The sequence below is a fragment of the Homo sapiens genome, chromosome 15 (genome assembly GCF_000001405.40).
Source record: "Homo sapiens chromosome 15, GRCh38.p14 Primary Assembly".
In the NCBI taxonomy this organism is placed as follows: Eukaryota; Metazoa; Chordata; class Mammalia; order Primates; family Hominidae; genus Homo; species Homo sapiens.
The window spans coordinates 44,844,687-44,859,305 of record NC_000015.10 but is presented as its reverse complement, the minus strand read 5'-3'; the positions used below and the strand labels follow the sequence as shown (position 1 = coordinate 44,859,305).

General features: G+C 44.0%; 1 long non-coding RNA gene and 1 pseudogene across 3 annotated transcripts in view; one reads left to right on the top strand and one right to left on the bottom strand.

Moving 5' to 3' along the window:
• The window catches only part of SORD2P (sorbitol dehydrogenase 2, pseudogene), a 58,948-nt pseudogene that overhangs the window by 25,389 nt on the left and 18,940 nt on the right, over positions 1-14,619 (top strand). For both annotated transcript variants that reach the window (NR_146394.1, NR_146393.1), the window contains exons 3-4: positions 8,919-8,952; positions 11,744-11,908. The product of NR_146394.1 is annotated as a sorbitol dehydrogenase 2, pseudogene, transcript variant 2 (transcript). The remainder of the gene's footprint in view (positions 1-8,918; positions 8,953-11,743; positions 11,909-14,619) is intronic.
• LOC105370798 (uncharacterized) lies at positions 2,532-4,749 on the bottom strand. The gene is made up of 2 exons (XR_932185.3): positions 4,667-4,749; positions 2,532-2,643 (listed from the first exon to the last, which is right to left on the bottom strand). It is a non-coding gene; the product is annotated as an uncharacterized LOC105370798 (long non-coding RNA).

The following is a 14,619-nucleotide window of genomic DNA, read 5'->3' as shown; positions in this document are numbered from 1 at the left end:
TGTCAGGGAGGTTTGGTTGTCACGATGACTGAGGAGCACTACTGCGGACTTTATTCAGTTCATAGCACTGTCCTGCACAACAAAGAGTTGTCCTGTCCCAAATAGTGCCCTATGGGGAATTATGGATGGCTGAGCTTGCCTGGGCTGAGTGAACCATGTAGAGTGAGAAGGAAAGAAGAGGAGGACATTACCCTGGAGAGAGCCCCAACACTGGAGGGGAAAGGGCAGAAAGAGTTGTCAGCAGAGGAGACCCACTGTGCTGCCTCAGGTGCACCTGCAGCTCAACACAGACCTTCTGGGCCCTCGCCACTCCTTCTCAGGCATGGTCTTCCACCAGCACCTCCACAGTGCCCAACCCGGACCCCCAATGTGGTATCACTGCTCCTCCACCTTTTCCATAAGACAAATAGGCTCACTGGCTTGGGTTTGGGGTCAGTAGTGAACCAGAGATAGCAACTAGGAGGAACAATCCTGGGGAAGCTTTGAGGGGAACCACCCATTTTCCTCTCTGCAAGAGGACCAAAATGAAACCCAGGATTTCCTGGACTTAATAAATTGTCAGCGGTTGCATTTTGGGGGAGGAAAAAACCCTTGGTTGGATATGAACTGGAGAATTTGACTGTTTTCTTCTTTTGATGTAAGACCACCAGCCACAGATTAAAAACCCTTCCATTTCTGGCTGGCCGGGGAACTGCAGCCCAGCAAAATGTGGCCGATTTAGGTATACAGGGGGGCAGGGTCTACTGATAAAATGGTTCAGTGCCTCAGGAACTCCTATGAAGGGAGTCATTTGAGGAAACTCTCATTCCTAAAATCTTTCATTATTATTATTATTATTATTATTATTATTATTATTATACTTTAAGTTTTAGGGTACATGTGCACAATGTGCGGGTTAGTTACATATGTATACATGTGCCATGCTGGTGTGCTGCACCCATTAACTCATCATTTAGCATTAGGTATATCTCCTAATGCTATGCCTCCCCCCTCCCCCCAACCCCACAACAGTCCCCAGAGTGTGATGTTCCCCTTCCTGTGTCCATGTGTTCTCATTGTTCAATTCCCATCTATGAGTGAGAACATGCGGTGTTTGGTTTTTTGTCCTTGCGATAGTTTACTGAGAATGATGATTTCCAATTTCATCCATGTCCCTACAAAGGACATGAACTCATCATTTTTTATGGCTGCATAGTATTCCATGGTGTATATCTGCCACATTTTCTTAATCCAGTCTATCATTGTTGGACATTTGGGTTGGTTCCAAGTCTTTGCTATTGTGAATAGTGCCACAATAAACATACATGTGCATGTGTCTTTATAGCAGCATGATTTATAGTCCTTTGGGTATATACCCAGTAATGGGATTGCTGGATCAAATGGTATTTCTAGTTCTAGATCCCTGGGGAATCGCCACACTGACTTCCACAATGGTTGAACTAGTTTACAGTCCCACCAACAGTGTAAAAGTGTTCCTATTTCTCCACATCCTCTCCAGCACCTGTTGTTTCCTGACTTTTTAATGATTGCCATTCTAACTGGTGTGAGATGGTATCTCATTGTGGTTTTGATTTGCATTTCTCTGATGGCCAGTGATGGTGAGCATTTTTTCATGTGTCTTTTGGCTGCATAAATGTCTTCTTTTGAGAAGTGTCTGTTCATATCCTTTGCCCACTTTTTGATGGGGTTGTTTGTTTTTTTCTTGTAAATTTGCTTGAGTTCATTGTAGATTCTGGATATTAGCCCTTTGTCAGATATTTTGGTGACAGGGTTTCACCATGTTGCCCAGGCTGGTCTGGAACTTCTGAGTTTAAGCAATCCACCTGCCTCGGCCTCCCAAAGTGCTGGGATCACCGGTGTGAGCCATCCCGCCTGGCCTTGGCTTCCCTTTCTTATCAAGTTTTGGGGTTGCCTGGCCACAGCAGGTGTTGTCATCTCAGTCCTACATACATATGCTTATCACTTTGAGCAGTCAGCAGTTTCACTGTGAGCTGAGTCACTTATCATTGTGACTCCATTTTGTTGGTGGAAACAACCCAGATGTTATTCAAGTAATGAACATTTTTTAAATGTGGCATATAGATATATAGTGGAATATTATTCAGCCCTGAAAAAAGTTTTGTCACATGCTGTGTTAAAAATAAACCTTGAGAATATTATGTTAATAAAAACAAGCCAGTGACAAAGTGACAGATAGTGTATGATTCCACTTATATGAAATAAGTAGCCAAACTCACAAAAAGTAGAATGGTGTTTGTTAAGGGCTGCTGAGGGGGTAAAATGGGCAGTTGTTACTTAACAGGTATTCAGTTTCAGGTTTACAAGATGTGAAATTCTAGAGATCTGTTGTATAACAATGTGAATATAGACAACAATATTGAATTATACACTTAAAAAGATTTAAGATGGTAGATTTTATGTTATGTATTTTACCACAATATATTTTTATAAAACAATAACTAGAAGAAAAAGAAGACTCCATTTTGAGACATTTAGAATCACAAAACATTATTATATATCAATAGCCCTACCTGGATGTCCCAAGACACCTCAGTCCCAGCATGTCCAAACCTAAGTGTCTCGTAATTCTTGTAGGAATTCAGAAGTCATCCCAGATGCCTCAATTCCCACCTCCTGCGGGATCTGAAAGAAGGAGAGGGATTAGGCAATGGGAAATGGGTGTAGTTGGAGGTGAAATGGGGGTGTGGTGGCCACCAGGTGAGGGGTTTAGGAGTCTCCAGGGTCACTGGTGACTTGATACAGATTTGCATTTCAGCAAGATTGTTATCAGCAGAACAAAGTTGAATGGAGCCAGGAGAGCTTGGGCTGGAGACCAGCTCATTGGACCTTGGGAGGAAATTCTACCTCCTACTTTGACCTCAAGTTTGCCAGGACCAACACGGCTAGAACAAAGCCTCTCATGACAAAATAGCCAATTGGGAAACCTTTGAATTTTCCTCCCACCCTTAAAACACGCTTCAGGCACTCAAGGGAAAGGGAAAATGGAAGAGGAAAGGAAGAAAAACAGGGTCTCTTGCGCCCTGCAGGTGTGCAGGGCAGCCCTCCACAGGCCCACAGGAGGCTTGGCAGCAGGGAGCAGGTGACTGCTGTGCATCTGGGATGAGACTAGCACTTTCCCCACACACTGCTAGCTGTCCCCCACCCGAAGACAGTGGGAGCACATTGCACTCTTTCCACAACTGGCAGAGTCAAGCCTAAAAACTGCTAGAATCCCTTCACTTTCTTCCAAATGCCAGCCTTGTAGAGTGGTCAGATTTTCTTAATGTTGATATGAAAACCATGAGAATACAGTTGTCCTCGGTATCCTGGAGTAGGGGAAGGATTGGCTCCAGGAACCCTTTGTGGATGCCAGAATCCAAGGATTCTCAAGTCCCTTGTATGTAATAAAATGGTCTAGTATTTGCATATAACCTACATGCATCCTCGCATCTACTTTAAATCCCCCTAGATTACCTCTAATACCTAACACAATGTAAATGCTCTGTAAATAATTGTTATACAATATTATTCATTTGCATTATGTTTTATTGTTGTATTGCTGTTTTTTATTTTTTGAATATTTTTGACCTCAGGTTTGGTTGAATCCAGGATGCAGAACACAACTTTTCCACAAAATAATTTAAAATACTTGTCAAAAGATAAAATGACTGCAATTTAATTTAAAAGATTTTCTTTGGCTTTATTTGCAATTCTAGAATTGGGCAACACTTCATTCCATAAAATAGCCTGTGTTCCAGTGAGGTAAACAGAGGAGGTTGGTTTTACAAACAGAAAAGAGCTAAAGAAAGCAGAAACACAAGAAAAAGCAGATTGGTCATTTCGGTTATTTTCCTTGTAAGGTGGGAACAGGGAAATAGAACAACAGAAAAATAACTGATTGGTTAAGATCAGGTTTCTTCAGGTCATTATTTTTTATTTTTTGGTAAGGATTAAAGTAGAGGGAACTTTATTATCATGCTGACTGAAACTGGCCTGTTTGGGATATTTGGCTATTATCTCTCCTGATTTCTCTGAAGGTCATATAAGAACTTAGTTTTGCTTTGATGATGTGGAACTTTAGTATGAGTGGCTCCATTTTGGGTTTTTAATTCTGTTCTCTTGGGGCGCTGTGCAGAAGCAAAACAGTGGCCTCCTGTAATTTCTATTTAACATGCTTTACTCTTATCAAAAGGACAAGATTGTCCAGGGTTGGTTCAACCATAGTGTGAACTAATTATGGAAAAAGAACTTTGATTTTACTTCTTTTGTAATAAGAGTGAACGTATTTACTGAGTCGGCATTCCCTTTCATGATTATCATTATATGAAGGAGGAAATTGGGGCACACAGGGGTTACATAACTACCCTGAGGTCACGCAGCTGGTGGGGGAAGCCTGGGTTGCATGTTGACAGGCAGTTCCAGAGTCTGAGTTCACTGTGCCACTCAGGTTGGCTGGAGGAGGGAAAAGGCATCTTCCTTCCATTTCTGCTTGTGTTGAGGCTGTTGCTACAACCCAAGCAAGACGTGTTGAGGGAATCAACTCAGTTATGCAGGTGGAAGTAGAGGAAAAGGGACCAATGATGACATAGCTAGAAAATATATATTTAGGCTAATGTAAAAAATGTATTTAGGAAAAGCAAGGTAACATTTAGTATGTGAGAGGTACCTGAGATGATTCCATGTCCCCGCAGAGAGTACTTCCTGAAGTATTTCCATGAGTTACTTCAGGAGTGGGCTGGTAGGGCAGCGGGAGGAGCTGAAGGGGATAGAAGGGAGAGTATATATGTGATTCAGATATGTATTTCTGACTTGAAGTGAAATATGCTGGAAAACTCACACAACTATGGTAAAGAAAAATTACTCAATTCCTTTTTACCCTCTTGTACAGTCACTCATTAAAAGATAAGAATTTCGGCCGGGCATGGTGGCTCACACCTGTAATCCCAGCACTTTGGGAGGCAGAGGCAGGCAGATCACTTGAGGCCAGGAGTTCGAGACCAGCCTGGCCAACATGATGAAACCACATCTCTACCAAAAATAGAAAAAAATTAGCCACGCGGCGTGGCACGCACCTGTAATCCCAGCTACTCGGGAGCCTGAGGTGGGAGGATGGGAGGATCACTTGAGTTCAGGAGGTCGAGGCTGCAGTGAGCCGAGATCATGCCACTGCACTCTAGCCTGAGTGCAGCGACATCTGACATCAGGGACTGCTGATGAGTTACAAAAAATAAATAAATAAATAAATAAAATAAAGAAAGAAAGAAATTCCTTTAGGAAACCTTGAATATGATTGAGATGACAAAACCCTTGGGAATGAGAAAAAAAGGAGCTGTGGAGATAAAAGTGAAAGTTCGGGATCTCAGAGGAGCTAAGAAACTTTGGTACATGAGAAATTGGATAAATGGAAGAGTATCTGAGACAGAAAAGGATTAAGCAAACAGAGGATTGTGGCCAACATCATGGCAAGGAAACATGAAAAGCAAGGTTTTGAGCAACCATGCTGCAGTAACTTCCTAAAACATTGTAGTCTCCACAGTGTGCTTAGGGCAATATTTACAAACCTACAGGCTGATGTTAAAATGGTTTTGTGCTCAGGTAGCATGTCTCCTACAGAGACAGGAGGCAGGAGACAAGCCTGAGTTGCAAGGGTAATTAGAATCAGCCAGAAAAAGAATGGAAAAAGAAAGTTGGTGTGCAGGGAGAAGAATTTATTTGAACTTCTCCATCAAGCGTGTTCCGTTATAGGCACAGCACAGGCTGTGGGCACAGCACCCTCTAGTGTCTGGGAGAGTCACTGCAGCTTTGCTGTGTGGTAGGAGCACAGTTGTTCAGCTCCGTTAACTTGAACAAATATTTACAGTAGTGTTCTCTCTAGTGACCCAGGGCCTACTTGGTGTGCATGACTGTTGTTCTAAGCTTTAGTCTTACCACCTCTCCACCTTGAAATGGGGCGTTCAGGTCTGGCCTGGCTGGAGGCAAGGCTATGAATTGTATGCTGTGGAACTGTCTTTCAGTGTCTGTGAATTTGCCTACTAGTGCCTTTAGCAGGGAAGGTGGGGTGCTCTCCCATGTTTGAAATAAAGGCCTTAGTCTTTAGTTTCAATTTAACCTGCAGTTCAACATTTCACGCAGTATAATGCAGCCATAAAAAAGAATGAGATCATGTCTTTTTCAGGGACATGGATGAAGCTGGAAGCCATCCTTCTCAGCAAACTAACACAGAAACAGAAAACCAAATACCACATGTTCTCACTCATAAGTGGGAGTTGAACAATGAGAACACACGGGCACAGGGAGGGTAACATCACACACTGAGGCCTGTCGGGGGGTGCGGGGCAAGGGGAGGGAGGGCATTAGGACAAATACCTAATGCATGTGGGGCTTCAAACCTAGGTGATGGGTTAATAGGTGCAGCAAACCAGCATGGCACATGTATACTTATGTAACAAACCTCAGGTTCTGCACATGTATCCCAGAACTTAAAGTAAAAAAAACAAAAAAAAATCCACTTGGTATAACAGAAGGATCGCTTTACACAGCGGTCACTGATGTCTGATGTGGGACCAGCAACAACTTTAAGGAAGGTTTTGGTGACAATCAGCTATCATAAGGTGGCTATTTCTAGACTGATTACCTCCCTCCCTCCCATCCTCCCTTCCTTCCTTCCCTCCTTCCTTCCTTCCTTCCGATGTAGCCAGTCTAAATTATCAAGAGATAAAAAAAAACTCCCTTAAGCCCTTTTGCCCCCATCAGGCTGCTTTGGATGCAGCTCCACCGTTTACTGCCTTAGTGTTACCATGGGTGGGTTCCTCAGTCTCATCATATGAAAAAGGGACAATAGTAGGATGTACCATGTAGGGTTTCTGTGAGTATTAAATGAGGTAATGCCTGTAAAGCACACCGTACCTGACATAAAGAAGCCATTGAGCAATATCAGCTAGGCAGCAATAACATTAAAGCTTTGAGCTTTGTTTCATGGGAGAAGAGGTTCAAATTAGCACTGAGCCTCTTCAACAGAAAGGGCTGGTAACTTGACATAAGTGAAAACCTCTGACCTTCCTTGGAAACACTAGTTTGGATAGTGGTTATTTAACAAGTACAAACACTTGAGTTTGGGGCCAAGCAGTGTACCTGGTGCTAAAGAGATGGAAGGCGTGGTCTTTGGCTTCAAGGTGTTTATTATCTTGTTAGGAAAAAATAAAAAGCCACTGATCACTAAGCACGGTGATAGTACCGAGCAGCATTTGTCCTTTGGTGTTGTTTAGTGCGGTGGGGCTGCCTATGAAAGTAGCTAGTTAGGCCCTTTTGGAAGGAGGTAAGCTTTGAACAGTGCCTCCTCCCAGAGTTTTCTTCATGGGGCTCAGCTCTGACATTCTCATCACTTGTTTGGCAGCTCTTTGCACCACCCCTGAAGGAGAAAAGTCATATTCCACCTTGGGGCTACAGTAGGGTACAGTGGAAGCAGGCTTCATCCACTCTCTGGTAGCATGACCTTGACCAAGTTATTTAACTTCCCAGCTTCGAGTTTCTCATTTCCAAACTAAGTGGTATGGTGAGGATAGAGTCTAGCCCACTGTCTGGCACATGACAGGTGCTGTGAACATTTCCATCTCTCTCTGTCTCTCTTTTTTTTTTTTTTTTTTTTTTTTTTTTTGAGACAGAGTCTCACCCTGTCACCCAGGCTGAAGTGCAGTGGCACAATCTGGGCTCACTGCTACCTCCATCTCCCGGGTTCAAGCAATTCTCCTGCCTCAGCCTGCTGAGTAGCTGAGACTACAAGCACGTGCCACCACGCCCGGCTAATTTTTGTATTTTTGGTAGAGATGGGTGTCACCATGTTGGCCAGGCTGGTCTCAAACTCCTGACCTCAAGTGATCTGCCCGCATCAGCCTCCCAAAGTGCTGGGATTACAGGCATGAGCCACTGCGCCTGGGTACATCTCTTTTCTTGATTACCTTCAAAGAATAAAATGAACACTTGGATTGATTTGGCCACTCAGTGGCCTTCCTTGTCACTAGGACTTTCCTAGCCTGTTGACAATGAGGAAAGAAGGCTTAGTAAACCAACACTACTACAACTACTGCTGCTACTGCTACTACTACTAGCTGTGAACACCAGAATAGCTCAGATTACTTTTGAACCTGTGAGAGGGGCCAAAATGCAGGTCTTATGTGTTCCCAAGGGGCCCCTCAAATGCCACATGGGAAGTTTAGGAAAAGAGGACCAGGTATCAGTCTTTGTGCCGATGTAAAGGAAAGAGGTTGGCAGCACAGACACTTTCTCCTACCTGTCTAGCGGGAAACATCCTCAGTGCAACTGTCAGAAACGCCTGCATCCTTTCCCTGGAGGAGTTTGTCAGACCAAACAAATCTGTATCTAAGAACATGTTTTTCCAGGAAGGCAGGATCTGATACGGATGGCAGATCTAGAAACCCAAAGATCCCTTCTGCCTAGAGTTACATGGACTGTGCTTTTTCCTTAGTCCTGGCGAAGTTGCACCAGTGGGTGGGATGAGGTCAGCAATTAGAGTCAGCTCTTCCTCAGTTAGGATTGGCCTTTGGCTTGTAGGCTGTTTCCTAGGGAGGGAACCCAGCGTCAGAACTTCATCTCACCCTGTGACATGTCACTACTGACAACAAGTGTGGTCCTCTGTATGCTCTGTGAGTATGCTGGGCATGCTGCTGTTGGGTCCGTCACTGTGTTATGCAGAAAAGTGACGAAGGGCTAGGCAGGTGTGTGCAGCGTGCCATTTAGCGTATCCCCTCAGGCATGCACCCAGGAGCAGTGTGGTCTGAGCTTGTGTTAATTCTAAGAAGAAATAAACTAATGATGAAACTCTAATTGTTTTTAATGGAAAATGTTCATAAGGTGAAGTTCTTATGCATGCTAAATGATTTTTTCAATTTTGTTTCTTTTAGGAGAACTATCCTATCCCTGAACCAGGCCCAAATGGTAAGTTCTTGGGAAACATGACTTATATTCTGTTATTTCCTGTTGTTTCCTTTGGAGTCACATGTATATTGCTCCCTTACCTCTCTTTTCCAACTGTTTATTACTTTTGCGTCCATTAAAAACCTATGCTTTTCTTATGCTGAGAACAGTGTGTACTGCCCACAGCATGACCTCGTGGGAAGTTTATCTTGGCTGCTACATGAAATAAAAAGAATAGTGATAGAATCAGAAAAATTACCGTACCAGACTGCTGACTTGTCCCAAAGAGTTTTTGATGTGAAGTATATGGACCAATGACAGAATTCTTCCTCTTTTGACCTAATGACAGTGTACCCTATCTACCAGAAGCTGCTGTTGGAGTGGCCAAGTGTCCTAACCCTAACGCAAACTTTGAAAAGGAGTGAGTCTACAGAACTTAATCTTTAGCAAAGGGAGCATCATGCCAGTTTCCCCACTCCCCAGGAAGGCCAGTCACCGAAGTGTGGGGCAGCCCAGGACCTACTGTCCAGTGGGGGTGGGAGGTGCTGCATGAGGCCCTGTCCCCTGCCCTAATCAACCAAGCACAGAAAGTGAGTGAGCACACTGGGGCAGGGTTTCCAACACCTTTACTCCACTCCTTCCACGTCTCTCACTTGCTAAGCCTGTGGGGCTTAGCTGACATGCTGACGCCCAAGGTGGCATCTGCAACTTCCCAGCTTTGGGTTTCTCATGTACAAACTGAGTGCTATGGTGAGGATAAAGTCCAGCCCACCGTCTGCACATGGCAGGTGCTGTGAACATTTCCATCTCTTTTTGTCTGTTGGCTCGGGCAGATCCCTGCTGACAGCTTTCTAATCCCTCCCATCCCTGGAATTCCACTTTGTCATAATCGTGCAGGACCCTGAAGTGAGGCTGGGGGCAATGGTCAGAGTGTCTGTAGATACTCACCCTCCCCCTCTCACACCTAGACAGTCAGGTCCCCTTTCTGCCCTTGAGGAGTTGGGGGTGTCCTTTCCCACTTTGTCCTACCTCACACCAGAACCGCAGCTTCTGGGTGAACATCAGATCAAAGGCAGCTTTCCTGGTAGATCCACAGCTTTGCTACTGAAAGGTCAGTTGTGTTATCGACTTGTAAGTGGTAAGAATACAGACTAGATAGAATATAACCATTCTGTGGGTGCTGAGTAAGTATTGTATAGCTAGGGTTCAAGGATTTTCACCAAGATACCATGTTCAGAGAAGTGAAAGAGTTACCTCACTGTGTCCTGAAAAGTTGACTGTTGATTCCATAAGTGGCCAAATGAGGGCTGTCTTGGACCCAGAGTACAAGCTTGGCTCCTGGTACAGCTTTTCTCCCTGAAGCAGCATTCTGCTTGCACTCTCGTCTCTTGCTACACTTGCATTGGAAGCGAAAAGAGTGCATTTCAGCGAGTGTTCTAGCAAGTCAAATCTAATCTCTCACTACCAATTGCTACTTCAAGAGACGAAATTCTGAGATGATTTTCCTAACTCAAATGACTTTTCCCTGCATTTGACCTGAGAATTCACCCTGCCATTTCTTACTCTTCACTAAAACTAAGGAGGAAGAAAGTTCTGAAGAGCCACCCCTGGCAGTCTGTGGCAAGTGCAGTGCATAGCAGAGATTTGGGTCTCTTTGTCTTTCTAAGGCAGAGTGTTTTTTTCAGGGAGGTATTCATAACCATCATCTCAGTCAGAGATGATGGTACTTATTGGTACTTATTCCACCAAAGGGGCTCAGTACCATCATTATTTTAAACTTAGAAAACTGGCCAGGCGTGGTGGCTCAGGCCTGTAATCCCAGCACTTTGGGAGGCTGAGGCAGGTGGATCACCTGACGTCATGAGTTCAAGACCAGCCTGGCAAACATGGCGAAACCACGTTTCTGCTAAAAATACAAAAATTAGCCTGGCATGGTGGTGCACACCTGTAATCCCAGCTACTTGGGAGGCTGAGGCAGGAGAATTGGTTGAACCCGGGAGGCGGAGATTGCGGTGAGCCGAGATCCTGCCATTGCACTCCAGTCTGGGCAACAGAGGGAGACTCTGTCTCAAAAAAAAAAAAAGAAACAAAGAAAGAAAGAAAACAATAGGCGTGAAGAACTCAACTTGATAGTTCACAAAATGTTGCCAAGCTGAGATTCTACCAGACCTGTTCTCATAAATAGATAGGAATCACGCATAGCATATTAATTGTCTGGAAAGTTATCTTTTGGAAAATAGTTTGTTCTCTTAAGTGGTTGGTACATTTCATCCTACTAATGATATATTGTTTACCCAGTGTATTGGTTAGTGTTGTCCAGAGAAACAAAACCACTAAGATATATGTGTATGTATGTATGTGTGTATGTGTACAAAGGGCAGGCTGGAAATTCAGGTAAGAGTTGATGTTGCAGTCTTGAGGAGAATTCCTTCTCCTTCAGAAAACCTCAGTCTTTGCCTTTAAGACCTTCAAACTGATTGGATGAGGCTCACCCACATTATGGAGGGTAATCTACTTTACTCAAAATCTATTGGTTTAAAAGTTAACCATGCCCAACACGTATCTTCAAACAACCAGGCACTATAGCCTAGCCAAGTGGACACATAAAATTAGCCACCACATGTGGAAGCTTGTTTGCCTTGCGAGACTTAATCAGGGTTGCTATGGAGCTTGATTTCCTCTGTGGCCTAAATTGTGTACCTGGCCTGGTAACCCAGCCCTCTCCCCTGGGCAAAGGGAAATCACTAGGTCACCTCAGAGTGATAGGGGTTGTTCCCTCTCTCACTGTTTTTTTCTTCCTTTCTTTTATCAGAGGTCTTGCTGAGGATGCATTCTGTTGGAATCTGTGGCTCAGATGTCCACTACTGGGAGTATGGTCGAATTGGGAATTTTATTGTGAAAAAGCCCATGGTGCTGGGACATGAAGCTTCGGGAACAGTCGAAAAAGTGGGATCATCGGTAAAGCACCTAAAACCAGGTCAGCAAGGTCCTTCGACTTATGTGTTCATTCAACATAAATATGTGTGCATGCTTTCTTTGGGCCAGGCCCTCTGTTAAGCTCTGGGTACAGCAGGGAACAAGACAATCTTGTTCCATACTCACATGGATCTTACCTTACACAAGAAAAGAGGGACCTGGAGCAGACAGATAGTTACTTAGTCACCATGTGTTAAGGGCAGTAGAGGAGAATGCAGGGTGTGATTAGTGTATTTTACCCAGACCCTTGGTTCATTTGAGGAAGGGACAATTAATCCAACATCTGGAGCCAGGTAAGAAATAAGCCAGGTAAAGGGCTGGAGAAAACATTTGAGGCACAGGAAACCAAACTACCTTTACATGCTGTGAACCACGGCCTTGGATATAATGTTTGATTTTTATTAGATGGCTGGGAAACCACCATTATTTTTCCTAGATTTACTAAATTCATTTTTCCAGAGGGAGGAATTCTCAGCTGTGGCAGGCTGTGTTGTTCCCTGATACCGTGAATTAAATCCAAGTTGTCTTGGCATAGTTAGCTATTGGCTTTAACCTTCCTTTACCGGTGAGGCTGCTGTGCAGCCCGGAAATAAGGTCACGTTATTTGGGGGAAGGTGGAGGTTGACAGGAGGCCCCATCCTGTGTTACTTATAAAGTTCTCTGAGCCCAACCACATGGAGAGGGATTGACCAGCTGTGAAGCAGTCAGGCATGTGTCTTGTTTAGGGATGTTAAGTCATTCATCATTAGTGGAAGTCAAGAAGGCTCCTGTGGTGTTATGAGGTTATTTCCTAATGGAATGTTTATAGCTTCCAACAGCCACTGATGATTGGTTCTCACCTGTGGGACAAAGTCTCTGACTATAAATTATAACAAAGAGTGGGGTTCTGTAAATGTAAATTATAACAAGGGTTTAGTCAGTTGTCCACAATGAGCTCAGTCTTATGCCACGAGCCTTGAGGGATATAGAAAAATGAGCAGATATGATCCCTGGATGCTTAGTTCTATATGGAAACACTAGATGTCAGGCCCTTCATAAATACCAGCAGTTAGACAGCAAGCCCATAGGGTACAATTAGGTGTGGGAAAGAATAGGCTTTAGGAGTTCAAAGGGCATTTGTTGTGGGCAGAGGTGGTTAAAGAGTTCATGGAGGAGATAGGTCTTTGAGCTAGACATCTAACAGTAGTAACATTAATAAGAAGGTGGCTAATATTTATTGATTTGCTACATTAGTCTCCATGTTAAACACTTAGATGTACAATTCTTTCTTTCTTTCTTTTTCTTTTTTTTTTTTTTGACGGAGTCTCGCTCTGTCACCCAGGCTGGAGTGCAGTGGTGCAATCTTGCCTTGCTGCAACCTCCACCTCCTGGTTCAAGTGATTCCCGTGCCTCAGCCTCCCAAGTAGCTGGGATTACAGACATGCAGCACCATGCCTGGCTAATTTTCGTATTTTTGGTAGAGGCTGGGCTTCACCATATTGGCCAGGCTGGTCTTGAACTCCTGACCTCAAGTTAATTGCCTACCTTGGCCTTCCAAAGTTCTGTAATTACGGGCCTAAGCCACTGCACCTGGGCTATTTATTTCATTCTTGAAACAACTCTATGAGATAGGCATTATTATCTTCATTAATTGAAGAAGAAATTGAAGCCTGGTTATTGCCCAGGGTCACTCACTAGTTGGTCTCAGAACTGGGATACCCACCCTGGTCTTTTGGACTCTAGAGCAAGTGCTCAGAACCACTGGGCTACCCAGCATCTTCATACTTGAGAACGGTTTTATATTTGAGTTATTGAAGAGGTCAGAGCTAATATTCTAGTTAAGAGGAAGCGAACAGGCTGGGTGCGGTGGCTCATGCCTGTAATCTCAGTACTTTGGGAAGCTGCGGTGGGCAGGTCACTTGAGGTCAGGGGTTTGAGACCAGCCTGGCCAATATGGTGAAACTCTGTCTAAAAATAGAAAAATTAGCCAGACATGGTGGCACGCGCCTATAGTCCTAGCTACTTGGGAGGCTAAGGCAGGAGAATTGCCTGAACTCAGGAGGCAGAGGTTGCAGTGAGCTGGGATCATGCCACTGCATGCCAGCTTTCCAGCCTTGGTGAGAGACAGAGCGAGACTCCATCTCAAAAAAAAAAAATAAAAGAGGAAGGGAACAACAAAATTACAGATGTGAGAGTAACACATCTGGGTGCAGATAAGTCTGTGCTGCTCAGAGCAGAGGTTTTGTGTTGGGGAGTTATTGGAGATGATAAACATGCATAATCTTTATAAAAGTCCCCCTTTAAAAAGCACTTGGCTGGGCATGGTGGCTTACACCTGTAATCTCAGCACTTTGGGAGGCCGAGGCAGAAGAATTGCTTGAGCTCAGGAGTTTGAGACCAGCATGAGCAACAGAGGGAGACCCTGTCTCTACAAAAAATAAAATTAGCTGGGTGTGGTAGTGTGCACCTGCATTTCCAGCTACTCAGGAGGCTGAGACAGAAGGATCACTTAAGCCCGGGAGGTTGAGGTTGCAGTGAGCCATGATTGCACCACTGCACTCCAGCTTGGGTGACAAAGCAAGACTCTATCTCAAAACAATAAAATAAAATAAAATTTAAAAAGCACTGTAAAACTGTGAAATGTCATGTTATCATAATATAATCATAATTAGAAGGTAAAACTGAATAATATGAAAACTCCACCTGATTATGGAGGATCTTGAAGGCTAGGTG